We start from the raw sequence: 27,320 nt of genomic DNA, 5'->3' as shown, positions 1-27,320 counted from the left end.
GACCGACCGGGCGCCGCGCTCAACTTCCACTTCTCCTTTCGCCGGCGCCGAGTTCCTGGCGCCGCTCGCCCGGCCCGGCTTCCGAGGGGAGAGGACGGGCTGGCGGGGCTGGGGACCCGCGTCTCGGCCCCCGGAGCGGGGACCACGGAGACAGACCCCGGCCCGGCGACCGAGCTGGGCCCGTGAGCCACTCGGCCTCAGGTACGTCGATGGCGCCGGTTCTTCGAGCCTTGGGGGACGTGGAAAAGTTTGCTTGAGGGCGGAATCGAGAGCGCCGGGGCCCCGGCGTGGGGCTGGGGGCCCAGGGAAGGGCGGGAGAGTCGCGGAGTGTCGCGAGCCGCCCTGGAGTCGCCCCGCCGCGCGTGTGATGGAGAACCCGGGCTCCCGATCCCGGGATGGAAGTGGAATGGATTCCCCGAGTCGGGGAGTCGGGGTAGGGGCCCCTGTTTTCCCTCGCCCCCGGCAGCCTGGGTTCCGTGACGGGGCCGATCATGACAGCGGGCCCCCAGAAGCTGGGCGCCCGAGGGCAGAGGAGGTGGGGCGGACCGCGGCGGAGCTGCTAGATGGATCCGACTGCCCCCGGGGCTTCTGGGGCCAGGGCTTTAGGGTCACACGCACACACGCGCACGCAGACCTATGATGTGGAGAACTGGATCGCCAAAATAGAGACCTCTTGGCAGGGGCCGGAGTTTCCGTGTGAGCCAGCCGCCAGCCTTCCCGCTCCCGCGTTCCCGCTCTCCCCGACTCTCCCGCCTCCGGGTTCCCTCCTGGGCCGCCGCCTAGGGGATTCAGCAGCCGCACCGTGCGGGGTCCCCTCACGCCAGCGCCTTGCTTTGGAGGCTTGAGGGACTGCTGAGGCGGTGACCGCTTTATGAATTCCTGGCTCCTCCACCGCACCCTAACCCTGACTCCCTTTTCTCACCACCGTATGCCTGCACATCACCTTCCTGACCAGAGTCACCTCCTGACCCCTTGGCACCTCGGCTCAGCGAGGTCCTCCTGGGCCGCCCCCGCCCCGCACCATACCCCAGCTGAGGGATTTGATGGCCATTTGATTCCTGCCCCTCATCCCTCGGCCTGTGATAGAGGCCTGTCTGGTCCTGCAGCCTCTTCTGGTTAATGTTTGACAGTTCATTGTGGCTAATTATTTTAATTAGCTCTTAAAGTGGGAAAGAACAGTTAACCTTGGACTTCTCGATTTTGGCCTGGTGGGGCCTCAAATGGGAGGAGTGCTGGGGAGGTGGGGAGGTAGGAGCGGAAGTGAGGTCACCACCCCAGGGCCTGAACCACCACTGCTCAGCCCCAACAGCTGGTGGGCACGCCCATTGGGGACTCACCCCCTGCCAGCTGACCCCTGGCCCGAGTGCCAGGTTGGAGGTGGGTGAAGGGAACAGTTCTAGCTCTTCCCTTTGGGGAGACTTTGGCACTGAAAATGCCCGGGGAACACATATGCCCAGCAAGAATGCCAGTCCTTCCTTGCAGTTAGTTACACTGGGTTTTCCTGGTTATAAAGTGCTTTCTCAACCATTAATTCAGATTCAGTGCATCCAGTACAGGAGCAGCGTAGGGGGAGCTCTCTGGAGTTCAGTGAAGATTATCAGGGAGGACTTCCTATCCCAGCCAGCTGGTGTGAGGAAGAGGCTACCTTGCATCTGGTTGTTTTTGGGGCTGGATTCAGAGCCTGGGATCTCTTGTTGGGGGCAGGGGTGGGGGGGACCATGAAGCAGGCTCCATGCTACCACCCTCACCCAGCCTCTTGCTGTGAGCCGAAGGAGTGGCTTGTTTGCAACTATGTCTGGCATTCCTCCCTGTGCTGCACTGTTTGCTCGGTGGTTGCTCAGGAACTGGCGCCCACCCCTGGACAACCTAGGGGCCCAAAATTCACTCTCCCTCACCTAGTGCTAAGTGGTGACACAGTGGCTTCTGTCTTCTCTGGCATATATTGGGATCTAAAATAGAGGGTGCTGTGGTCTGTCTCTAGGGGCCTGAGTGATAGCATGTCCAAAATGCCCCTCATCTTGCAAAAATCAGGCCCTGTGCCGCACAGACCCAGCTAGACACAGGCTGAGGAGTTTGCTTTCCTGGGGAAACCTCTGCTCTTCTGCTCTTAAGCTTGGCCTTCTTCCTTTCCACATCCCCTACCCCCGCAATGTAATTTTACATCCAGTTTTTGTTTTTGCGTTTAGAGTGTTGTTTTTTTTTTGGTTTTTGTTTTTTAATTCAGGGTCTCACTTTGTCACCCAGGCTGGAGTGCAGTGGCACAGTCACAGCTCACTGTAATCTTGAACTCCTTACCTCCAGTTCTTTTTTTTTTTTTGAGATGGAGTTTCACTCTTGTTGCCCAGGCTGGAGTGCAATGGCACGATCTTGGCTCGCCGCAACCTCCGCCTCCCAGGTTCAAGTGATTCTCCTGCCTCAGCCTCCCGAGTAGCTGGGATTACAGGCATGTACCACCACGCCCGGCTAATTTTGTATTTTTGGTAGAGACGGGGTTTCTCCGTGTTGGTCAGGCTGGCCTCGAACTCCTGACCTCAGGTGATCCACCCGCCTCCGCCTCCCAAAGTGCTGGATTATAGGCGTGAGCCACTGTGCCCAGCTACCTCCAGTTCTTAAAGCCTGGCTGTCTAGGTTGAAATCCCAGCATTGTTATTTACTAGCTATGTGATCCCAGTCAATTGTATGCCCCAGTTTCCTTATCTGTCACATGAGACCACTTTATAACACTTTGGTGAGGATCAAATACATGAATGAATACATATAAGATGCTTATTAGAACAGCACATGGCACACAGTAAGTGCTAGCTGCCCTTACGATATTGCCTAATGCAGCGCCTAAAACTCAGATTCAATTCAGCAAACACTTGCTCAGAGCCGGTCCTAGTACCAGACCCCAATGAAGTGGCAGTGAGGAAAACATGGATGTGAGGAAGACACCACCTGCCTTCCGGGATTGTGTGTACCTTTTCGTGTGGGCTGGAGTCAGAGCAGGTGTACAGGAAGGGGTCAGGGAGAGGGGATATGTCATCTATATAAATAATTGTAATTGGAAGCCAGGATCAAATTCCTGAGCCAGTGTGGGGGATCAAGCACCCTAGACTTGGGGGCTTCTCTTTGCCTGAAGACCCTGGCCAGATTCTGGTCTAGATGCACCTCCCACCCTCCCCACACACAGAGTCTTGCCCTAGGATTTGGGTGAATGAGAGGGAAAGGAACACTGGTTTTCTTTTCTTTTCTTTTCTTTTCTTTTTGAGATGGAGTCTTGCTCTGTCGCCCAGGCTGGAGTGCAGTGGCCCAATCTCGGTTCACTGCAAGCTCTGCCTCCCAGGCCCAAGCATTTCTCCCTGCCTTAGCCTTCTGAATAGCTAGGATTACAGGTGCCCACAACCTTCCCCAGCTAATTTTTGTATATTTTAGTAGAGACGGGGTTTCACCATGTTGGCCAGGCTGGTCTTGAACTATTGACCTCAGGTGATCCGCCCGTCTTGGCCTCCCAAAGTGCTGTGATTACAGGCGTGAGCCATTGCTCCTGGCTGGGACACTGGTTTCTGCATGAGCTACAGGTGGCAATCTTGCAGGATGTCATTTGTTGGGTTCCAGGGCAGGATGGCATTTCTTAGGGACACCCCCCAAACATCCCTATAGCCCCCTGCAGTGGAAGGGGTCATGTCTGCCATGCCCCCTGTCTCCCCAGGATCTCCCACCGAGCTGGGAAAGGCCCTGGGCAGCCTTCTGTCCTCAGGGTAGGGCCTGACCCCAACCCGGGCTTGGCATCTCTCCTGGATTTCTAAGCTGCAAAGAGGTTTCTGGCTTCTCTTCCAATTTATTCTTTTTGTGGTTCTCAGACTGAAAACTACTTCTGCAGGGGAGAAAGGAAACTCCTGCAAGGCACCCAGAATCCCATAGGCGCTTTCCTAGGGGTCAGGGGCTTTTCTCATCAACACCAACCTGCCTGCAAATCTCTGGCCGCTGAGCCTCGTGTGTCCTGTAATAGCAGCCACACTGCTAATGCCCTGTAGCTCGGGCCCCAGTGCTGGTTGCCAAGAAACTGCTGGTCGGGGTGCTTATGAGGGTTCTGACCTCATAGGGGCTGCTGAGTTTCAATTCAACAGACATTTATTAATACCTACTGTGTGCCCAACCGATGCTAGGCGCCGTGGGGGAGATGAGAGAAGGAGGCGCTGGGGAAGAGATGACTAAGACACTGAAACAATCAGAGGCGAGGACAAGCAGCCGGGCCAGTGGCTGGTCAGGTGCTAATTGTGCTTGTTGGAGCAGAGGCCAGCACGGCTGGGACTGGAGGTCAGCAGCAGCTGGAGGAGGGAGGGAAGGCTTTGTGAGGGATGCGGGCCTAGGCTAGACCTTGAAGGGGGGAGAGGGGGAAGCAAGGGGGAGATTTGGCTCAGCAGAAAAGGAAGAAAAGACGCCTTTCTCTCTATTCCCTGGCCACGAACTGACCTTCGAAGCCTGGATGATTGTTTGGCAAATGTGTGTCACATAAAAGACCAGGTCAGCTAGTGTGGGTGGCTCAGTGCAAACCCCTGTCTCCACTCCGGGAGATATAAACTGGCTGGCCAGCCTGCCACCCAAGCTGAGGGGATTTCGTTTGAAACCCCTCCCTTACCAGACACACACACACACACACACACACACACACACACACACACACACACAGGCCCCTGGGGAGTGGGAGAGATGGCAGGGGAGACGTAGGGCACTTAAATGACAGGAAAACTGACATGCCACTTGTGCTCATGGCAGTCTCAGGCTGGCTGGATCCCACCTTTTCCCCAGGGTTCTGGGATTTCTCTGGAAGCCCAGAGCTTCAGGTGGAGGAAAGAGATTTTCATAATTGTTCCCCACTCCACCATCTGGGAAATGAAGAATGTAGAGTTTCATGTGTTTCTGCCCAGACCGCTAAGGACTAGCCATATATTGCTTCCACTGATTCTGTGTCTCCCAAGGCTGGACATGGAGGAAGCTTGGCCCTGGTTGGGTTTAATTGGATAAAAAACTCCCGGACATCCCCCTGCCACATACACACACTCATCATTTTCCCTCTCTCACTGCCCTGCCTCCTCCCCAGCACATTTCAACACCAAAGGGACATACCAGAGGGCCCTGACTTCTTGGTTGGGAAATCATGCCCTAAGGTGAGTTTCTCGGCAAAGAGACCCCAGCCTGCTTCCAGGGTGAGGAGGAGGGTCAGGGAGCAGGGAAGGGTGTTTCATGCAGGAAGGTCTGCAAGGGAAAGTGCCAGAACATTTCTCAGAGAGGCTAACAAGAAGCAAGCTGAGCAGCTTGTAGAGGCTGAGCAAGCTTTCCCTTGAGTTGCCACCTTCTTTTCTTTTTTTAATTTGAGGCAGAGTCTTGCTCTGTCGCCCAGGCTGGAGTGCAGTGGTGTGATCTTGGCTCACTGCAACCTCCATCTCCCGGGTTCAAGCAATTCTCCTGCCTCAGCCTCCTAAGTAGCTGGGATTACAAGCACCTACCACCATGCCCAGCTAATTTTCTTTTTTTTTTGTATTTTTTAGTAAAGACGGGGTTTCACCATGTTGGCCAGCCTGGTCTCGAACCCCTGACCTCAGGTGATCCACCTGTCTTGGCCTCCCAAAGTGCTGGGATTACAGGCATGAGCCACCGCACCCAGCCGAGTTGCCACCTTCTTGATGGGTCATTTTCTTGGCCCAGTGTGGGCACTTCCTGCCTCTCAGAACACCTGACTCTCCTGAAGCTTCCTTTCCTCTTCCAGTGTGACCCAATATCCTTCCCAATACATGTTATTGTCTAGAGGAGGAAGAGCACAGGCTCTCTACATTTATATGCCAAACTTACTGGCTGTGTGACTATTTGCTGTTGAGCTAGTTACTTAACCACTCTGGGAGTCAGCGCCCATCTCACAGGGTTGGAGTGAAGCTTAAATGAGACGATGCATATAAAGCACTCAGCAGAGTGCCTGGCATATAGTACCCACCCAGTAAGTGTTCACTGCTGTTATTATTATTCCTGTGACAGTTATTATTATTGTTGTCACCATTTCCCCTTCACACACCCTTGACTTTGCCAGGCTCTAGGGACCAACTACTTCTTCGGCAATGCGGGCAGGGCATGCCACACCCATTTCTGAAACTAAGCGGGAGATTTTCCAGGTTTTTCTGCTTTTTGTTAACTCGGCCATTGCACAGGATAGGGAAAGGATGTAATAGAAGGTGTGTGTGTGTGTGTGTGTGTGTGTGTGTGTGTGTGTGTGTAATATACTGAATGGCAGGCAGTGCTGTAGTGAAGAGCAAAACTCAAATCGTTAATATTTGTACTAACATTGCCTTCTTTAGTCCTTCACCATTTTCATCTTGAGCATCATTCACTGCAGAAATAAGAGTAAGTTAGTTTCTTTGAGAGGCCTAACGTTGTACTCCTGGGAACTATTTAGCAATCATCAGATTGTTGTTATTATCCTACTGAGTGTAAAATTCTGGGAGCCAACTGGCTGACTACCACTCACTCTCACCCTTCACTAGAATAGATGATGGGTCCATTCTGGGCCAATGCCCAGAGGCCTTGAGTTGAGGCTGGGGCACTGCCTTTGCCCAGAAGAGCTCCCAGGGGACTGGGGGCCAGTGCCCTTCCAGAGGCCTCCCAGAGAGTAACTTGGAGGTTCCATTTGCTATTGACTGGATTGTGTTTGCTTGAGGAGCCTGTGACCACCCGCAGGGACAGGCAGCCTAGGATAAACTGGACCACCCCTGAGTAAAGCACTCCACTCAGTCCCTTGGTCCCCACCCCTCAGTTAGAACTGCTAGGCTTTGGGGGATGGGAGGGTGGCAATTATTCTTAACCTCCCGAAATTCCTGATGACCCGATAACAAGGAGGTATTTAGACATAGAATGAGGAGCTAATCTTTTTCCTATAATGCCCCCTGAGGATAACAGAGGCTAGTTCAGCTCTGCTAATTCTATGAGAATCTATGCACAGAAAACACCTGTCTCATTAGATGACCACTTCTAATTAGCCATTCTAATAAGTGTGCAGTGGTATCTCATTGTGATTTTAATTTGTATTTTCCTGATGATGTTTGTATTGACTGATGATGTTGAACATCTTTTCATATAGTTGCTGTCCATATGTCTTCTTTGTTGAGGTGTCTGTTCAAATCTTTTGCCCATTTTTAAACTGAATTGTTTGTTTTCTTGTAGTTGAGTTGTGAGAGTTCTTTATATTTTTTGGATACAAGACTTTCATCAGATACATGCTTTGTAAATACTTTCTCGTAGTCTGTGGCTTCTTTTAATCCCCTTCTCAGTGTCTTTTGACTTTAGCAAACATTTTAAATTTTGATGAAAGTGCAACTTTTCAACTTTTCTTTTTATGGGTCATAGTTTTGGTGCTGTATCGAAGAACTCTTCCCCTAGCCTTAGTTCACAAATATTTTGTCTCATATTTTCTTTTATAGGTTTTATAATATTAGTCTTTACATTTTAGTCTATGGTCTGCTTTGAGTTAATTTTTCTGTATGTTGAGTGGTATGGATCCAAATTCTTTTCCTTCCTTCCTTCCTTCCTTCCTTCCTCCCTCCCTTCCTTCCTTCCTCCCTCCCTCCTTCTCTCTCTTTCTTTCTTTCTTTCTTTCTTTCTTTCTTTCTTTCTCTCTCTCTCTCTCTCTCTCTCTCTCTCTCTCATCTTTATCTTGCTTTCTTGCTTTCTTCTTTCTTTCTTTTTCTTGGTCTTGCTCTGTTGCCCAGGCTGGAGTGCAGTGGTATGATTATGGTTCATTGCAGCCTTGACCTCCTGAGCTCAAGTAATCCTACCACCTTAGCCTTCCAAGTAGCTGGGACCACAAGAGTGTGCCACCATGCCCAGCTAATTTTAAATTTTTTTTTTGTAGAGGTATGTTCTCACTATGTTGCCCAGGCTGATCTTGAACTCCTGGCCTCAAGCTATCCTCCCAGCTTGGCCTCCCTAAGTACTAGGATTACAGGCGTGAGCCACTGCACCCAGCCTTTTTTTTCTTTTTCTTTATGCATATGAATATCTAATTATTCTAGCACTATTTTTGAAAAAGCTATCATCAGTCTACTACCATTGTCTATATGTGGGCCCATTTCTGCACTCTATTCAATTCCATTGATTGGTCTACTTATTTCTCTTTACATTAACACCAACTGTTTTGATTACTGTAGCTTTATAATCATTCTTGAAATCAGGTAGTATTAGCCTTTCAACTTTGCTTTTGTTTGAAGTTGTTTTTGGCTAGTTTAAGTCCTTTGCGATTTCATGTGATTTTTAGGGCTGACTTGTCCATAACATTTTCTTTTAATATTTGCATTTATCCCACTTGCGTTAATTTTTGTTGTAACAAATATGTTTGGTGTTTTATTTTATTTTGAGATGGAGTCCCACTCCGTCGCCCAGGCTGGAGTGCCAGTCGTGCGATCTCAGTTCACTGCAACCTCTGCTTCCTGGGTTCAAGCAATTCTCCTGCCTCAGCCTCCCAAGTAGCTGGGATTGCAGGCATGTACCACCACACCCAGCTAAATTTTTTTTTAAATATATTTTTAGTAGAGACACGGTTTCACCATGTTGGCCAGGCTGGTCTCAAACTCCTGACCTCAAATGATCCACTGGCGTTGGCCTCCCAAAGTGCTGGGATTACCGGCGTGAGCCACTGCGCCCAGTCTGGCCTTGTTTTTGTTTTGTTTTGTTTTGTTTTGTTTTGTTTTGTTTTGTTTTTTGAGACGGAGTTTCCCTCTTGTCGCCCAGGCTGGAGTGCAATGGCGTGATCTCGGCTCACTGCAACCTCTGCCTCCCGGGTTCAAGCGATTCTCCTGCCTCAGCCTCCCGACCTCCCGAGTACCTGGGATTACAGTCATGCGCCACCACACCCGGCTAATTCTGTATTTTTAGCAGAGACGAGGTTTCTCCATGTTGGTCAGGCTGGTCTGGAACTCCGACCTCAGGTGATCCACCCGCCTCGGCCTTCCAAAGTGCTGGGATTACAGGCACGAGCCACCGCGCCCGGCTTGTTTTTTAAATCTTATTTTATAATCATGTTTGTTCCTTATGTTACCATTATTTTAGATGATGCTTATCTTTTAATTGATATTCTTAGCCTAAAAAGTTGCTTAACTTTATTATGCATTTGTAAAATAGGACTACTTATTTGTTATTTGCTCTTCATTTATTACCAATTTTTGGTTAATAAATCCATGACTATCTGCCTCATACATCATTTTATAGATGCCAATCATATTCTTGCTCAGCCTTGTCTGTCCAGAAAACAAAAGGCTTCTTTAAATAAAATTTTTCCTCATATAGTTATCCTCATACCCCTGTTTTCTTGAATCACTTTACTTCTTAGACCTGATCCAGAATGAAGTCTTTCCTGAGGGTTCAGTGATCAACCAATAACCCCAGGGTGGAAACATTGTGGTTTTGTACAAAGACAGAATGCTTTGGTGATGACCTGATCATCAACTGCCTTCTCAATGCCACTTAGAATAAATGACTCTAGCTAATACATCTTGTCCCTAACAGAGGCCTGGAGCAAGAGAGGAAAAGTAACATTGGAGCCCTGGAGACATTTGCCCAACTCTATGGCTACCTTACCCCTAGTCTGTAGCCCTAAGATCTATCAGGACCTGTGGTCTCATTTCTAGAGATCTCACTCTTGTTGAGAATTTAGGTGAACTTCATTCATGAATGCCCAAACCTGTGTTAGTCAGGAGATGAAATGGGCTTTGATCCCGTGGATTTTACTACCTGTTGGGGAAACAAGAGATACACGTGAAATAATTAAAGGGCAATTCAAGACCCTGTGGGATTAATAAATCTTGTGGTAGAATTTAAGGGTCATGGGGGCTTAGAGAAGGGGGTTCCATGGGTGCAGACCGTAATTATGAGGGTACAACCAGCTCCATGGGGTTGGTGGATGTGATTGGGCCCTTGCTGGATAGGCACTATTTGATTAGCCAAAAAGGAGCAGCAAAGGCATGGCAGGCCTGAGAAACTCCGTGAATGAGCCTGGAATGTTCCCTCAGGGGACCATGAGGAGACCAACTGGGCTTCAAGCCCAGGCTTAAGTTGGGAAATCATGGGAAACAAGCCGGAGTAGGTAGGGTGGGGTCAGACTGTGAAGGACCTTTGGAAACTGAGCAGATGAGTTTGGACCATAAGGCTCTGCCGAGTCTGGCTGGTGTGGTCACAGCCATCGATGTCAATGTGTGTCCTGGAGTAGGAGTTGGCGCCAGCTCAGAAGCTGAGGGAGGAGCTAGGCAGAGGCTGGGCCAAGACTGGAACTTGATCTTCCTCACTCCCAGTCAAGTGGGTTTTCTGCTGCACCAGGCCTAGTTTTTAGCTTTCCAAAGGATTTTCACATTCACTCCATATAGCTTCCTAACAGAACCCACAGGTATGGGGTACAGATGGTGAAGACCAGCTCACTCCATGGCTACTGGGGTGACAGGAGGTAGAACCACTGAGAAACACTCTATAGTTCACCTGCTGGTTGGCCCCACCAGGTGACCACTTGCCCTGGAGCCCCTTCTCAGGCTCAAACATGTTAGTTCCAGATGGTATCCTTAAAAGAAAATGTATTAAGAGGCAGGCGGTGGCTCATGCCTGTAATCCTAGCACTTTGGGAGGCCAAGGCGGGTGGATCACTTGAGGTCAGGAGTTAGAGACCAGCCTGGCTAACATGGCAAAACCCGTCTCTAGTAAAAACACAAAATTAGCAGGGCATGGTGATGCGCACCTATAATCCCAGATACTTGGGAGGCTGAGACATGAGAATTGCCTGAACCTGGGAGGTGGAGGTTGCCGTGAGCCGAGATAGCACTGCTGCACTCCAGCCTGGGCAACAGAGTGAGACTCTATCAAAAGAAAAAAGAAAATCTATTAAGGAGAGAGATGACACTTAACACAATATCAGTTTTTTGGTTTTTTTGTTTGTTTGTTTTTTGAGACGGAGTATCGCTCTTGTCACCCAGGCTAGAGTGCAGTGGCGTGATCTCGGCTCACTGCAACCTCCACTTTCTGGGTTCAAGCAATTCTCCTGCCTTAGCCTTCCAAGTAGCTGGGATTACAGGCGCCCGCCACCACACCCAGATAATTTTTGTATTTTTAGTAGAGACGGGGTTTCACCATGTTAGCCAGGTTGGTCTTGAACTCCTGACCTCAGGCGATCCACCCGCCTCTGCCTCCCAAAGTGTTGGGATTACAGGCGTGAGCCCCTGCGCCTGGCTGGCCTGAACATTTCGATAGAGGGAAGAAATGTGGAGCCCTGATAGCCACTATGGTCAATAAGCCTGCGTGGAGCTCTGGATAGCATGAAATCTCTAGGGAGGGAGGCCCGAGGCTGCGAGAGCCCTGTGACGTGGCGTGCCTGTGGTTACATAGCCCATTAATGGCAAAATTGACTTAGCAGAGTTTTTCCAAACTTTCCCACCCAAGTGCTCCCAAACTACTGAAAATTGTATTCTAGAGACCTAGAAGGACAGTTAAAATTTCTTGGAAGTATGACTTTTGATCTTAAATGTGAATGTTGCAATCTACTGCCTCGAGTACATTTTAAGTGATTTATCAGTGAACAAAATGGAGGCCCCTGGAAGATGAGCCCAGTCTGGACTGTGGCTTTGACGCCTAGTCTGGGGCTTGGTCAGCTTTGGCATGCAGGCCCTGTCTCTGTAGGGCCTGCCTGCAGGTGGGTCAGAGGTTGAACTTTCAGAAATGTAGCCTAAAGTGCTGGAAGGGAAATCTGTCACCCTCAGCATCTTCATTTGCTTCCAGTCTCCGTCCCTGTCTCCCTTTGTGATTCAAACACATTTGATGGAAAAATCTAGGCCCTTCTGTCCTGGGGGATAATCTTTTAGCTCGCTCAGTGGTTAGGTCTGGCCTCATCCTAGCCTTTGGGTGGGTGCATAGATCCCAGGGTGGGATGGACACAGACAGCTTGGGACCCATGAGGCTCAGAAGCCTGGGTATGGATTGGCCAAGATTGTGCCCAAGGACTTCCCAGCCTCATCTCCTCCATCACAGTCAGCCTGCAGCCCCTCATTCAGCCCCACCTTTAGCTTAGAGTGTTTACAGTGCTCTCCAGTAAAAAACAAATATATCTGCCCGGACTTGCAGTGCCTTTCAGCCTAGAGCTACCCACCGTCATCTCTGGGTGGCTAAGTACAGAAGAGCCGAGGAGGCACTCCAGGTCAAAGTTAGCTTCCTTAGCAGCACCACGTCTCATTCCTGTCTCCATAGCCTGCAGATAGAGAAGGTACAATTTAAAAAGAACGCATGCCCTCTCCAGCTTGAGCAAGCTGCATAAAGCACTATGAATATTCAGGTTTCGCTCTGGCAGGCAGGGCCCCAGGCACTGCGGGCCTGTGCCAGGCAGCAATCCTTCGTCCACACCCCCTGCCTGCCCATGGCTCAGGGGGGCTCCAGGCTGCGGGAGCCTGTAGTGACGAAAGAGCAGGTAGGGCCCTGGGCAGGCTGTCTGGGCCAGGCAGGGCGGGGGCAGCCGGCTGGGTGAGGCCCAGATTCCCCAGGCTGATAAGGCAGCCTGTAAACACCCGGCAAGGGGAGGGGGCAGAGGGCAGGCGACCAGATGGCAGGAGAGGGGGGAAACCGGAGCCCAGGCCTAGCTGCAGGAAGTGGGGCTTGATGTGGAAACATCCTGTCCAGCGGGGGCTAGGCTGGTGGCCATCAAGGATCACTCCCTCCACCATGAAGGCAAGCTCAGTGCAAGGTGGGGCTGCTGGCCTGGGCGCCAGCCCAAGAACCTGGTTCCTGACATCTCCAAAGGACATGATCAATGGGTCTCTATTATGGGTTGCTCTACCACCTAGCACTGCTGAGGCGAAATCAGAACTGAGCTGCCCCTCATGGAGACAGTCAACAGAAGGATTGTCATAGAGAATTTGAATCTCATGGGAAAATCTTCATCATCACTATCAGTGAGGAGCATCTATTTGAACACTTAATTGTGTCAAAGGCCTCCTGCAGCACCCAAAGGAGAGCCACGTATCTGACACTCCATTCTATTCTGCCTTACAGTGCTCGCTTTTTTTCCTTTCTTTTTCTTTTTCTTTTCTTTTCTTTTTTTTGAGACAGTCTTGCACTGTCGCTCAGGCTGGAGTGCAGTGGCGCGATCTCAACTCACTGCAACCTCTGCCTCCCAAGTTCTAGAGATTCTCCTGCCTCAGCCTCCCGAGTAGCTGGGATTACAGGCATATACCACCATGCCCAGCTAATTTTGTATTTTTAGTAGAGACGGGGTTTCTCCATGTTGGTCAGGCTGGTCTTGAACTCCTGACCTCAGGTGATCTGCCTGCCTCAGCCTCCCAAAGTGTTGGGATTACAGGTGTGAGCCGCCGCACCCGGCTGCTTTTTTTTTTTTTTTTTTTTAATAGAGATGGATTTCATCATGTTGTCTAGGCTTGTCTCAAACCCCTGGCCTCAAGCCACCTTCCCACCTCGGCCTCCCAAAGTGCTAGGATTACAGGCGCAAGCCACCATGCCCGGCCCCTTGCAGTACTTTCTAATTAGAACCTCAGAGGTTCAGAACTGGCTGAGCCTTTAGCAAAAGATTACCAAACTCGCCTACTTCACTTTACAGATAGGGAAATTGGGATCCAGAGAGGGGCAGGGACTTGGCCACATTAATGGAAGACCTGAAATTAAAGTCCTTAGTTGGAAGTGTTTTCCACTGCTTACCCCAAGGAAAGCAGCTTGCATAAGGTTGGACCTGCCATGCATACTCAGTGACCCTGTACTTACCCTTGCCTAGGATTATAGGGAGGCTGGGAGGAGGAAACAGCCTTGGAGCCATCAACCAGAGGACCTTAGCTTGTGCATGGCCTTCAGTGGGCCGCTGCCCTTCTCTGGGCCTCAGTTAAAAAAAAAAGACAACTGCTTTATTAGATATAGTTATTAGATATAGTTCAAATACCATATAATTCATCCTCTTAAAGCATACACTTCAGTAGTTTTTAATCTATTCTCAGAGTTGTACATCCATCACCAGAATCCATTTTAGAACATTTTCATCACCCCCAGGCAGGGCATGGTGGCTGACGCCTATCACCTCAGCACTTTGGGAAGCTGAGGTGGGCGGATCACTTGAGGCTAGGAATTTGAGACCAGCCTGGCCAACATAGTGAAACCCCATCTCTAATAAAAATACAAAAATTAGCCCGGTATGGCTGGCACACACCTGTAGTCCCAGCTATTTGGGAGGCTAAGGCATGAGAATAACTTGAACCCGGGAGGCAGAGGTTACTGTGAGCTGAGATCGTGCTACTGCACTCCAGCCTGGGCGACAGAGTGAGACTCTGTCTCAAAAACAAAACAAAACAAAAAAAAACCCAAAACATTTTCATCACCCCCAAAAGAAATCCCATACCCATTAGTATTCACTCCCCATTTTCTCCCAACCCTTGGGCCTCAATTTTGAAGATAACTTGCTACAAACATGTTTTGAGGGGGTGGAGCACCCAGCAATATTGTTTAGGCAGATGGGCTACTGAGCTTAGTGGGAATTTGGATACAAAGAGACTCTACCACAGAGAATAGGGTGGGCCCCGTGATTAGTCCCCTGGCCCTGGGCCTGGCACCTATGAGGTGTTCAAGGCTGACTTTCCATAAATATTTGAATAAACATGTGAACCAACACCCCAAGATAAGAGCCCAGACTTACATTATATGTAAGCCAAGAGCAAGTGTATATTTATGGGGCAGGGACCATGCTGTGGCTACTTGAGGTCTGGAGCCAGGAACTCTCTGGAAACAGCAGAGCTTATAGGAAGAGTCGGCCTCCACATCATCAGAGCTGGAAGGCTCCCCCTCCACAATACTCCTTCTCCGCAGCTGGCCACAGGAGCTCACATGGTCACCATTGGAAGTTAGAATTGACTTACTAGATGGAGCTTGGGTTGACATTGAGTCCTTGAGGGGCTTGGGACACAAGCCTGGGAAGCCTCTGTTGAAGCGGCCCCACAGGGGCTCTGAGGCTTCGAAGTGGAGAGCTGTGAGCCAGCCTTGAGCTAGGGATCCTAGCAGATGGTTGCTAGCATGGACAGAGGAAAAAGCAGGGACTTCAAGATCAAGGTCACACCGGCCCCAGTTTGAGTTCTGCCTCCATTCTTGGGCAGTGGTGGCCTTGATCATGTTACCTAATCTCTGAGCCTCACTTCTACTGTTTTTCAAATGAAACTATTAAAACAGAATTATTACCAAAGCAGATTTCACTGAAAACAAAGTTCATTGTGTGTAGTAGTTGGAAATAAAGCTAGGTTCAAACCCCGGCTCTGCCACTTACTGGCTCCTTTGCAGGGACGGTGTAGCACCCCAGAACTACACATCCCTGCCACCTTCCCTGCACACCACCCTGTCATCTTGTCATTTTTACTGTTTGGCCCTCCTTTTCCCGAAGCAGGGGGAGCAACTTGAAGTGGTATCAGAGAGCGCAAAAGAAAATCTTGCCCACCTTTACACAAGCACCCACGCCCCACTGCCCCTCCCCCAGCAGGCCATGCCTGAGACCACAGTGGCCACACCCACCACCCTCGGCCCACCAGCAGCTCAGGTCACTGCCAACCCCACAAGTGCTCACCCTGAGCTGGCACCAACCTCAAGCGCTTCCACCCCCTCCACCCAAACACGTGCCGCCAGCTTTGAGCCAGGCTTGTAACCAAACCCTGGCCCTGGGTTTGTGCTGCAGATGTAGGGAGGGGCTGGCAGAAGCCCAGGTGCACATCCAGATGTTGTTTCTAAGGTTTCCTTGGCGTTCTCCCTACCAGCTGTGAAGCCGTATTCACTCCAGCTTGCAGGAGTGGACAAGCAGGTACTCCCCTCAGGGGCGGCGGGGCCCTATCTGGAGGGAACTGGTTCCTCTTTGTCCTAGGGGGGACATAGAGTGAGAGGGGACAGGGAAAAGTGGGACCCTGCTCTCTCTCTCTCTCTTTTTTTTTTTTTGAGATGGAGTCTCCTCTGTCACCCAGGCTGGAGTGCAGTGGCGTGATCTTGGCTCACTGCAACCTCTGCCTCCGGGTTTCAAGCGATTCTCCTGCCTTAGCCTCCCGAGTAGCTGGGATTATAGGCGCCCGCCACCATGCATGGCTAATTTTTGTTTTGTTTTGTTTTGTTTTTGTTTTTTTGAGATGGAGTCTCACTCTGTCACCCAGGCTGGAGTGCAGTGGCGTGATCTCGGCTCACTGCAACCTCTGCCTCCTGGGTTCAAGTGATTCTTCTGCCTCAGCCTCCCGAGTAGCTGGGACTACAGGCTTGCACCACCACGCCTGGCTAATATTTGTATTTTCAGTAGAGATGGAGTTTCACCATATTGACCAGGCTGGTCTCGAACTCCTGACCTCATGATCCGCCCACCTGACCTCATGATCCGCCCACCTTGGCCTCCAAAGTCTGAGATTACAGGCGTGAGCCACCACACCCGGCCAATTTTTGTATTTTTAGTAGAGACGGGGTGCCTCCATGTTGGCCAGGCTGGTCTTGAACTCCTGACCTCAAGTGATTCACCCACCTCGTCCTCCCAAAGTGTTGGGATTACAGGTGTGAGCCACCACGCCCGGCCCCTGCTCTCATGACAGGAGGCCTGGCTGGGCAGGGTTCTTGGCCAAAGATACAAGAATATGGCCCCGAGCTGAGAGAGGTATCAAGATCACCTTCTCAGCCATTTTTTTTGCAGGCCCATCCAGAACCATCATTTGTAGGAATCCCCTTAGCTTCTTGCACAGCTGCTTGAACCTCAGGGAACAATATCACTACGGGGAAGCCAAGGTGATTGTGTCCATCCACCACGAGGCCCCCGAACCAGGCAGCAAGGCTTCTAGAGCCAGCATCACATAGTTCTGGCCTGTCCCCAGGAGGACTGGCAACTGGGCAGAGAGGTCCAAAGCCTCAGGCTGCTTACAGCTGTTCTGACCCATGGCCTTGGGAGGGTCTCACTGAGTGGGTCACCTGCCTGCACAATAACCTCACAGGCACACAGCCCTACGGCTAGGAACCCCACCTTGCAACAGCACCTGGGAGGTACTTAAGAGTGGAAGTCACCACACCAAGTCATCAGCCACCATGGAATGTGAGAGTTTCCTGCTACATCACCCAGAAAATGCCTCTACCCTTGACCCATATGTGATATAATACAGTTGACCCTTGAACAACATGGGTTTAAACCACACGGATCCACTTTATATGTGGATTTTTTTTTTTTTTTTCTGAGACAGAGTTTTGCTCTGTCACCCAGGCTGGAGTGCAATGGCGCGATCTTGGCTCACTGCAACCTCCGCCTCCTGGGTTCAAGCAATTCTCCTGCCTCAGCCTCCCAAGTAGCTGGGATTATAGGCTCACCACTGCACTCCAACCTGGGGGACAGAGTGCCTGCCACCACGCCATCATGTTGGCCAGGCTGGTCTCGAACTCCTGACCTCAGGTGATCTGCCTGCCTTGGCCCAAAATGCTGGAATTATAGGCATGAGCCATCACACCCGGCCTATATGTGGATTTTTTTTTTTTTTAACAGTATTCTCAAGATTCGAAACCTGAGTACAGGGAGGGCCACCTTTTTGGATTTGTGGGCTCCACAGGCCAACTGCGGGACTTGAGTGTGCATGGATTTTGGTATTCCCAGGTGGTCCTGGAACCAATCCCCAAGTATGCCAGGGGACAACTGTACTTTGCCCTCCGTTGTCGCCTGTGTCCATTGGTGCTAGGGACAAGGCCCCTGCAAAATTACGAAGTGACATTGATTTCAATGTCATCTGCCCCAGTGAACTAACCTCTCATCCTCTTGCTTCATTAAACCTGTCCCTCCATTCGAAGCCACCCTGGGCTAGTCCTTCCTGGACATTGACCTCAGCATTTATATTCCAGTTTTTTATCCAGTCCTCTAAGGCCAGGCTCACTCCACCCCTCAAGGTGACAGCTAGGTAAAGTGATAAAGTCATTTCTACTCATCTGGTAGTAGGAGAGGGTTTGTGGAGAGGGTTTGTGGTAGCAAGAGAGCCCCAATCTCCCTCCCAGGTACTGCATCCGCTTGTACCTGCTCCTAGCCCAAAGCAGTCTGGTAGACCTGCCACTGGGGCGTCCCCTTGTGTAGACAGCTGTCTCCTCAGCCTTCCTGTGAGGGATCCTCCCCACTCACCACGCAGGGCCCTTCCCTCTCTGCACTCCCTGACCTGTGTGAGGCAGGGGCGGGGCTGGGAGGGCCAGCAGGCCCCGAAGGGGAAACTGCTGAAACCCCTGGGACAGGAAGTGGCAGAGAAGGGCTGTTTCCGCTGGCAGAGCAGGGGTGCGGTGAGAGCTGGCCCTATCTCCTACTCCACTGCCTGTCTGCTGTGGGCCCTGGGAGGCTGGGGAGAGGTGAGAGTCCTTTCCCTGTCTCCCTCCCAAAAAAGTGGAGGCTTTTAGCCCACCGGACTGGAGGGAGGGGAGGGCTCTTTCAGAGGAGGCCATCTTCATTTTGCAAGGAGAGGAATTCCGAGAGGAGGGCAGAAAGGTCAGCAGACGGGAAGGGTGGGGCAGGGCAGGTGAGTGTGGAGTGAGGGAGGCCCATGGGGGCAGCGGAAAACCACAGCTGGGCAGAGGACCCTTCTGTAAGCTTTTGTTCTGAGGGTAAATGATCAGGACCATGCCTGCTAAGAACTGTGGGAGATGGTAATGCAGTTGATCACTGCCTGTCTAAGTCATAGGGCTAGACAGGCCCTTAGGTCACCCAGTCCAACCCCCTCATTGTGCAGATGAGGTAACCGAGGCACACAAAGCAGAAGTGACCTGCTCGAGGTCACATCATGGGCAGAACTCACGTCTCCTAACCCCAGCCCAGGACCTTCTTTCTGATGAGAATCTGCTGAGTTGTATTTGGCATCCCACACCTCCCTGCAGGCACCTCCATCCCCAAGTGCTCTGTGACATTCTTCTCAGAAATCAACATGATGGGGTGGGTGTGGTGGCTCACGCCTGTAATCCCAGCACTTTGGGAGGTGGAGGTGTGAGGATGGCTTGAGGCCAGGACTTGGAGACCAGCCTGGGCAATATAGCAAGACCCCATCTCTGAAAAATAAATAAATACAAATTTGAAAAAATATATATTTTTTTGAGATGGAGTTTCACTCTTGTTGCCCAGGCTGGAGTGCAGTGGCACGATGTCGGCTCACTGCACCTCTGCCTCCCGGGTTCAAGCGATTCTCCTGCCTCAGCCTCCTGAGTAGCTGGGATTACAGGCGCCCACAACCATGCCCAACTAATTTTTTGTATTTTTAGTAGAGACGGGGTTTCATCATGTTGGCCAGGCTGGTCTCAAACTCCTGACCTTAGGTAATCCACCCGCCTCGGCCTCCCAAAGTACAGGGATTATAGGAGTGAGCCACTGTGTCTGGCCTAAAATAAATTTTAAAAAAGAAATGAACTTGGTGAATTTATTCACACTGAAGCCTTTAGTCCAGCATTCAGCAAACCTTTCCTACAAAGAATTGGTTGAGCCAGTTTATTTGAGACCAACCTGGACAACATGGCAAAACCCTGTCTCAACAAAAAATACAAAAAGTTAGCCGGGCACGGTGGCGTGCACGTGTAGTTCCAGCTACTTGGGAGGCTGAGGCGGGAGGATTACTTGAGCCTAGGAGACAGAGGTTACAGTGAGCCATGATTGTGCCACTGCACTCCAACCTGGGTGACAGATCAAAACCCAGTCTCAAAAAATACATATATTAAAAAATCACTATATGTCAGGAAATATTTTTCTTTTGATTTTTCCCAATCATTAAAAAATGTAAAACCCATTCTTAGCTCATGGGCCGTCTAAAAATGGACCGCAGGGCTGGGTTTGGCACATGAGCCATAGTTTATGAACCCCTGCTTTGGTCTAAGAAGTAAAGCTAAGGTGTCATGAGGAGGAGGAGAGAGTGTGCCAGGTGGGGAGGAAGCAGGGAAGGCTTTGAAAAGAAGGTGACATTTGCTTCAGATCTTGAAGGACTTGTGGGCATTGGGCTTGCAGAAGTTGAAGAAGGGCCTGTCAGGCCTGGGGGACAGTGTGAACACAGGCACGGAGGTGGAGGTGGGGAAGGCACTGTGGAGGTGGGGAAGGCACTGTGAAGGTTCAATGTGCCCTGCATGTGTGTGGCTTCTTCTTCTTCTTCTTCTTTTTTTTTTTTGAGACAGAGTCTTGCTCTGTCGCCCAGGCTGGAGTGCAGTGGCGTGATCTTGGCTCACTGCAACCTCCATCTCCCGGGTTCAAGCAATTCTCCTGCTTCAGCCTCCTGAGTAGCTGGGACTACAGGAGGGCGCCACCACACCTGGCTAATTTTTGTATTTTTTATTATAGACAAGGCTTCACCATATTGGCCAGGCTGGTCTTGAACTCCTGACCTCATCATCCGCCTGCCTCGGCCTCCCAAAGTGCTAGGATTACAGACGTGAGCCACCACGCCTGGCCCTAATTTTTGTATTTTTAGTAGAGATGGGGTTTCACCATGTTGGCCAGGCTGGTCTTGAACTCCTGACCTCAGGTGATCTGCTTGCCTCGGCCTCCCAAAGTGCTGGGATTACAGGCATGAGTCACCACGTCCAGACAATTTTTTTGTATTTTTTAGTAGAGACAGAGTTTCACCATGTTGGCCAGGCTGATCTCGAACTCCTGACCTCAAGTGACCTGCCCGCCTTGGCCTCCCAGAGTGCTGGGATAACAAGCATGAGCCACCACGCCCAGCCGTGGCTTCATTGTTATTGGCCAGCCCTGAATCTTTGACTGCTGTGTGTTCTTGCCAGAGGAAAGGGTTGCTTTTTTGAGGATGCCAGGAGACAATGAGCAAGGAAGGAGGCAAGGAAGAAGAGTCACTTGGGAGTCACAGTGCAACTAGCTGTGTCACCTTGAGCAAGTCACTTCCTCTCCTATGGTAGCAGAAGTTGGATGATAAGAGGGATGGATGCAATGATCTTTCAGGTCTCTTATAACTTTGATATCCTGGGACTCTGACTCAAGGAGAGGTGTTTTTTTTTTTTTTTTTTTTTTTTTTTTGAGCTGAGGTCTCACTCTTGTTGCCCTGGCTGAAGTGCAGTGGTGCGATCTCAGCTCACTGGGGCCCCCACCTCCCAGGCTCAAGCGATCCTCCCACCTCAGCCTCCTGAGTAGCTGGGACTACAGGCGTGTGCCACCACGTCTGGCTAATTTTTGTATTTTTTTTTTTAGTAGAGACAGGGTTTTGCCATGTTGCCCAGGCTGGTCTCGAACTCCTGAGCTCAAGCAATCCACCTGCCTCGGCCTCCCAAAGTGCTGGGATTACAGGTGTGTACCACCGCACCTGGCCTTCTAACTTGAGGAGAGGTTTTAATCGTGCCGGTGAGAGAGAAGGAGGAACCCCAGGAGCTCTCGATGACTTCTGGAGCCGAGGCTGCCCTCCCTGTCTGGCCAGGCCCTGGTAGGCTGTCTTCCCACCTCATCCTTTCTGGCACCCCTCCCTTCTGTGAAAGGGATGCTGGAGTACTGCTCTTGTGCCTGAAGTACTGTCCTTTGCTTTTGCTGGCCTGGGGATTGGCCAGTGGCAGAAGGGCGCATTTGGGAGGGGCAGCCAGTGCCAAGCAGGCAGCAACCACACCATGGCCCCTGCTGCCCAGGAAAGTTCCAGATCTGAGCAAGGAGGCTTCACGTTAGTTTCTAGGACACACACTGGGCTGGCAGGGACCTTGACAAAGAACACTGTCCCTTCAATAAAAGTTATCTGACTTAATATCCTGTGGGTACCAACATAGATTATCCCAGCTTCTAAAAAACCCACTAATGAATTTAATTAGTCTCTAGTCAGTGTTTGTTTTTTTGAGATGGAGTCTCGCTCTGTCACCCAGGCTGGAGTGCAGTGGCGCGATCTCAGCTTACTGCAACCTCCCCCTCCCAGGTTCAAGCGATTCTCTTGCCTCAGTCTCCCGAATAGCTGGGATTACAGGTGCACGCCGCCACACTCCGGCTAATTTTTGTATTTATAGTAGAGACGGGCTTTTGCTGTGTTGGCCAGGCTGATCTCAAACTCTTGACCTCAGGTGATCCACCCTCCTTGGCCTCCCAAAGTGCTGGGATTATAGGCATGAGCCACCGCACCCGGCAATATCTTTTAACATTCTTAGCGAGAACACCCTGCACATCTTGGGGTCTCTACAGCTACTGTATCTCCCCATAGTCCATCAATTTCTTTACTTTGGGGTGGCTCTGGGATTCACCTCCTGGTTCCAGCTACCCTACCTGGTCTCCCTCCATCTCCTCCACTCACAGACCCACTCTTATTTTATTTATTTATTTATTTTTTTGAGATGGAGTGTTCACTCTTGTCGCCCAGGCTGGAGTGCAGTGGCGCGATCTCAGCTCACTGCAACCTCCGCCTCCTGAGTTCAAGTGATTCTCCTGCCTCAGACCCACTCTTATACCCAGACCAAACTGCCCTTCCTAAAGGGCTGCTTGTTATGCCCCTCCCTTGCTCAAGAATCTACAGTAACTCACAGTCGCTTTCCATATTAAGTTCTCATTCCACAGTTCCAGGGATCCACTTATCCAGCTTCCCAAGCAATGTTCCTCTCTCCCTCTAATCAAACTGGTTTCTTCTCTCTACCATACATTTTATATTTGTTGCTTTTGTCCCCTCAGCCTTCATTTCATCCCGCCACCTCCATTTCCCTTTCTTCCTCTATATCTAGGTAAAGACATGCTAAATGTTTAATGAACTACCACAGCCCCAGAGTAACGAATCAGACCAGGGAATTGGAAAACACACTGGCCAGGCGCGGTGGCTCACGCCTGTAATCCCAGCACTTCGGGAGGCTGAGGCGGGTGGATCACTTGAGGTCAGGATTTCAAGACCAGCCTGGCTAACATGGTGAAACCCCATCTCTATTAAAAATAAAAAAAATAGCCGGGCGTGGTGGCACACACCTATAATCCCAGCTACTCAGGAGGCTGAGGCACACCCTGGAGGCGGAGGTTGCAGTGAGCCGAGATCGCGCCACTGCACTCCAGCCCGGGTGACAGAGTGAGACTCCGTCTCAAAAAATAAAAAAAGAAAAACACGTTTCGGGCTAACAGAGAGCTTTTGCCTACATTAGCTCATTGGCCTTTTGCAACAACCCCTTGAGCTAAATAGGAGATCCCTGTTTTACAAAAGAGGAAAGTGACCTGCCTCAACCCCAAGGCAGAGCTGGGGCTTCTAGCTGGAAAGCCGATGATCTTAGGATCTGCAGGGGCTTCTGGGGGCTCTCCTAGGCTGGAGCTGGCAGACCGTTATACTGGGGTTTAGTGGCTGCCCCACACTTGGGTTTCTCCCTTTTCCTGCAGTGGGTTCTCCCGTCATTGGCTTAGTGCCACTGTCCTGTGCTTCGTGCATGAAGCACTAGAGATGGTGATGTGGTGGCCGCAGGCACTTCCAGGGGGTGCTCTTTTGGCCTTCTCAGAGCAGCTGGGGAAATAGGTTCTCTTTGTCACTAACCCTCCCCCTCCTCTTCCTCCCCTATGGGGCTTCTGTAGTGTAGTGCTCTTTCTTGCCACATAACCACAACCCAAAGTGCTGGGGCGGGGTGAGGACAGGGGATCCAGTGCGCTGCACCAGCCGCAGCAGCCTGCTCCTCCCTCCCTGCCAGGTCCCCAGCCCAGGCAAGGAGTCAGCCCCTTGCCACCCAACAACTGGAACCCTCCAGCCCCACCCTGTGTATTCTGGAGCCAGTGGGGTCCACCGTCTGGAGCTTAATGGGGCCCACAGCCCCTGTTGCTCTCTGGGAGGTCACCTGAAACTCATCATCTGGATGAACGCTTTTTAATTTTCAAAGTGCTTTTCCACTGCCATCTTTATTCACCCGAGACTCCCTGGTGAGCACCTGCTAAGCCTGGATTACTCACAACCCTCACCTGCTCGAAGGATGACAGAAACCACAGCCCAGAAAGATGGCCGACTTTTCCATGGTCACACATCTTGCTAGGATGCAGCCAGAACGCCTCCCTCCTCCTCCCCGGCCCTAGGCAGTCTACACTGTGGGTGGGCTGTGGGTCCCCTGGAGAAAGAGGAAAAAGCATCTCTTTGCCTGGGACCTGCCATCTAATCACTCCTCCTCTGGGACAGATCAAGGCCTGCAAAGAAGGTAGGGGAAGAGGCGAGCTGAGCAGGGTGTGAGAGCGGGGGCTGTAACTGGGGAAGAACCCTGGGCCCACCTCACCATCAGAGTTGGGAGAAACCCTATGCTGGAATCAGGTGGTGACAGAGGAGCAAGGAAGGAAACTGGGTTTCTTGTAAATAAGCACAGAGAAACCCCAACCAACAGAGCTTGCAAAACCTTTCTTTTTTCCCTCCCTCTTCCTGGTTTCATCTCAAATGGAGTGGCTGGTAGAAAGAAAGGAATAGGAGAAAGAGCTGACAAAATAGCGGTGACTAGGGCCCCTTCACTGGGCATTTGCTTAAGTAGGAGGGTTAGCTCACTCATTGGAGTCCAGCCATAACTGGACTGAGGTTTGGGGTTCAAGTCCTGTGGATGGGTGAATTCTGCTCTGTTCAGGACTACAGACTGGATATAGTCCTGACTCTGGCCTTCTGTCTCTTAAATCCACGCCACTGGTCACATGGTACAGCAGGCAGTTCCCTGCTTGATGACTATTCGCCTGAGGACGGGCTGTTTTTCAGTCGAGGGTACAGCTGTTCCTGGGGTAGTTTCCATTTTGCTTGTGGTTGTGGGGGAGGGGTGTTGAGGGAGTGGGAAATGGCATGAAGGAAATTGTCACTTCCTTTCCAGAGAATTCCAGAAAGGTTTCATGGAGGATGAGGTATTTCAGGAGTGAGAGCTGGCTCCAAGGGGACAAGGAACCGGAGAAGGAGAATTGTGCTTTGTGGCCCAGCTGACCATCTGGCCTCCATGTTTCCTGGCATGTGCGAAAATGCCACGGGTGTTACCAGCAATTCTGTGAGAGCCATTGGCTCAGCTGAAAGGGTGTAGATTTAAACTCACTCCACGGAGACTGTGGACGTGGCTTTCACATTGGGGCTATTTCCTGTAAGGGAGGCCCAGATGAGTGGTTGCTGGACACTGCTTGGTATGTTTCAGTGACAGCCCCAGGAAGGGTCTGTGCATCTAAAGGGGGCCGAGTTGTGACACAGGAGCAGCCCAAACCACTTCTATTTTGCTTCGGTTTTGAAATGCAGTCAGAGCCACAGAGGTGTGTATTTGCAGGCCAGGAGGTCGGCGCCTTTGCCTGCACACTCCCTCTTAAGGTCCATACACTCAGAGGGCACCCAGGGGCACATACTTTCTCGCAAAGGCTTTGCTTTTGGCCCAAGTAAGACAGGCGCTGGGAGTCAGAGACCCTGTAGGGCCTCAAAGGGTGTGAAGGGAGTGGAGCTCTTGCCACCCTGCGAGGGGACTGTGACTGGAGCAAGCTGTGAGCTGTGCAAGCATGGGGCAGGGTAGGGGAATTCACCACCAGTTACTAAGGGTTCACAGGCTCCTCAATTCCCCGAGCCAAGTGTCCGTGTGTGCTCCCTGATTTGTCTACTTGCTGGGGAGGCAGCATCCAGGGCTCTAGGCTACTGAAGCTGCGTCCCAGCCAAAGGGCCCACTGGAGAAGGGAGCCCCTGGTGGGGGCCTCCCTGGCCCACAGGGCGCACCTCCTATGATGGTGGCATCTTTGGTTTCGGGTTCCTGGGAGAAGGAGGTTATTTTGAAGGACTGAAGGGGGGGTTCACTCCTCTGCTGGGGAGAGTGAGTGAACATGCAAATGAGCCTCTCTCCACCTCTCACTTTCAAATCCTCAAACATCTCAAGGGGGAGGGGGAAACTTTCTGGACTGGACGGTTAGGGCGGATGGTTTCTCAGCCTTGGCCAAAAGAGTAGGACAGCTACTTCCTCCCCCTCCACCCCTTCAAGACCTTAGCTTCAGGCTCAGGGTAGACGATCACCAGGATGAGCCTCGGGTGCTGGGTATAGCTTCACAATACCTCACAATCCCGAGGCAGCAAAGCCTGCACCCACCAAGTCCTGGATTTTGCTACCTCAATATGTGGACACAGAAAAGAATGCCCTGGGAATCGTCTCTCTTTGATTTCAAACCTCTCTGCATTGGTGACCAAGGATTCCATTCAATGCAGTGCAGGGCCCTGGCTGCCTCCCTCCCCCACCAGCTCCCTGGCACATGGACTTTGGGGGTCTCATCCCCGGGACCCATGGGCCACATATCTAGCTGGGCCTGGCATTCTCTTCCTGAGAACCCCACCCCCATCTTCAGCACAGCCACTTCCAGCCAGCATTAGCTCAGGTTTGTCATTCTCACGAAGGCAGCTGAGGCTGGCCCGGAGGAGGAACTGACAACTGAGCTTGCGGCTTTGCTGGCCAGACCAGGGCAGCCCTTTGACACACAGAGGCTCTCGTGCACACGTCTCCACGCTTGGGACACATGCACACACCCTGCACACACATATACCTACAGTGCGCTTGCACACCCACAACCAACGCAAATAGCGCACCTGGGTAAATGACAATGCAAAAACATACAGAGGTCACCCCAGAAGGTATGCACATTTTGCTCATTCTCGTGTAAGGCAGAGTACGTGACACCTACCCGCATCCACCGTATACAGATAAACGTTGCCCAGAAAACACACCTCACAGATGCTGACTGACCCATACCACCAATCTATCCATCCATCCATCCATCCATCCATCCATCCATCCATCCAGCCATCCATCCAGCCATCCACCCACCCACCCATCCACCCATTCATCCCTTCATTCATTCCACAAACACAAATTGAGTGTCTGTTACATGCCATACATGATGCAAGGTGCTAAGGTTTCATCAATGTCCAACACAGTTGTTGCTGCCCTCAAGGAAGCCCCTGTCTTATGGGGGAGGTAAGGAAGGTACATAAAAGTAGCCCAGGCAGACAGCACCAGCAGTGAACTCGCAAACATGAAATCCTGATCTGGAAAGAAGAGATGAGCAAGCCCGAAGGGAAGGGCTACAGCGAGTGACCTTGGGGGAAGGGACACACACAGGAGTTTCATGTTTAGACAAAGTGGGATTAGGTGAAAGTGATCACCTTTAATTTGATTAGTATGAGAATGTTTCCTGGGGGCAGGCAGAAGGCCTGTGGGAGGGCGGGAGCTGCTGTGGAATGCAAGCCTTGGGGCGCTTAGGCTGGGGGGGCAGGGGGGACAGACCTTCCAAGCATAAATGGCCTTGGGAGGCTTCACAGACCAGTGGAGAATGGGTCGCAGGCAGGGTCTGGTGGGGGTGGGGTGGTGGTGGGAGGAGTGAACCTGGGGCAAGGGCTGCAGTTTCCCAGGCGCCTCCTCCCAGTACT

At 51.3% G+C, this 27,320-nt stretch overlaps 1 protein-coding gene across 4 annotated transcripts in view, besides 5 other annotated features; it reads left to right on the top strand.

The window, feature by feature from the left end:
• ELF4 (E74 like ETS transcription factor 4) overlaps window positions 1–27,320 on the top strand; it is a 47,904-nt gene that overhangs the window by 1,333 nt on the left and 19,251 nt on the right. Inside the window, exon 1 of one of the 4 annotated variants that reach the window (NM_001421.4) lies at window positions 29–201. The exons of 2 other annotated variants lie outside the window; for them this stretch is intronic. The gene's annotated coding sequence lies outside the window, so the exon portion shown is untranslated. Of the gene's footprint in view, window positions 1–28; window positions 202–23,592; window positions 24,112–27,320 lie in introns of those variants that run through there. One more of the 4 variants, NM_001440765.1, reaches the window with a different exon arrangement.
• Window positions 78–147: a silencer, noted in NCBI's record as "silent region_20990". NCBI's record gives its function as "represses an Ori minimal core promoter by ATAC-STARR-seq in GM12878 lymphoblastoid cells {active_cell/tissue: GM12878}" and the evidence as "EXISTENCE:reporter gene assay evidence [ECO:0000049][PMID:35858748]".
• Window positions 6,638–6,932: a silencer, noted in NCBI's record as "tiled region #9263; K562 Repressive non-DNase unmatched - State 3:PromF". NCBI's record gives its function as "represses a minimal TATA promoter and a strong SV40 promoter by Sharpr-MPRA in K562 cells {active_cell/tissue: K562}" and the evidence as "EXISTENCE:reporter gene assay evidence [ECO:0000049][PMID:27701403]".
• Window positions 18,792–18,841: a silencer, noted in NCBI's record as "silent region_20989". NCBI's record gives its function as "represses an Ori minimal core promoter by ATAC-STARR-seq in GM12878 lymphoblastoid cells {active_cell/tissue: GM12878}" and the evidence as "EXISTENCE:reporter gene assay evidence [ECO:0000049][PMID:35858748]".
• Window positions 23,699–23,868: an enhancer, noted in NCBI's record as "active region_29937". NCBI's record gives its function as "activates an Ori minimal core promoter by ATAC-STARR-seq in GM12878 lymphoblastoid cells {active_cell/tissue: GM12878}" and the evidence as "EXISTENCE:reporter gene assay evidence [ECO:0000049][PMID:35858748]".
• Window positions 25,443–25,702: an enhancer, noted in NCBI's record as "active region_29936". NCBI's record gives its function as "activates an Ori minimal core promoter by ATAC-STARR-seq in GM12878 lymphoblastoid cells {active_cell/tissue: GM12878}" and the evidence as "EXISTENCE:reporter gene assay evidence [ECO:0000049][PMID:35858748]".

This window comes from Homo sapiens, chromosome X (genome assembly GCF_000001405.40).
Source record: "Homo sapiens chromosome X, GRCh38.p14 Primary Assembly".
Lineage (NCBI taxonomy): Eukaryota > Metazoa > Chordata > Mammalia > Primates > Hominidae > Homo > Homo sapiens.
This window is presented reverse-complemented; position numbering and strand designations above follow the sequence as displayed.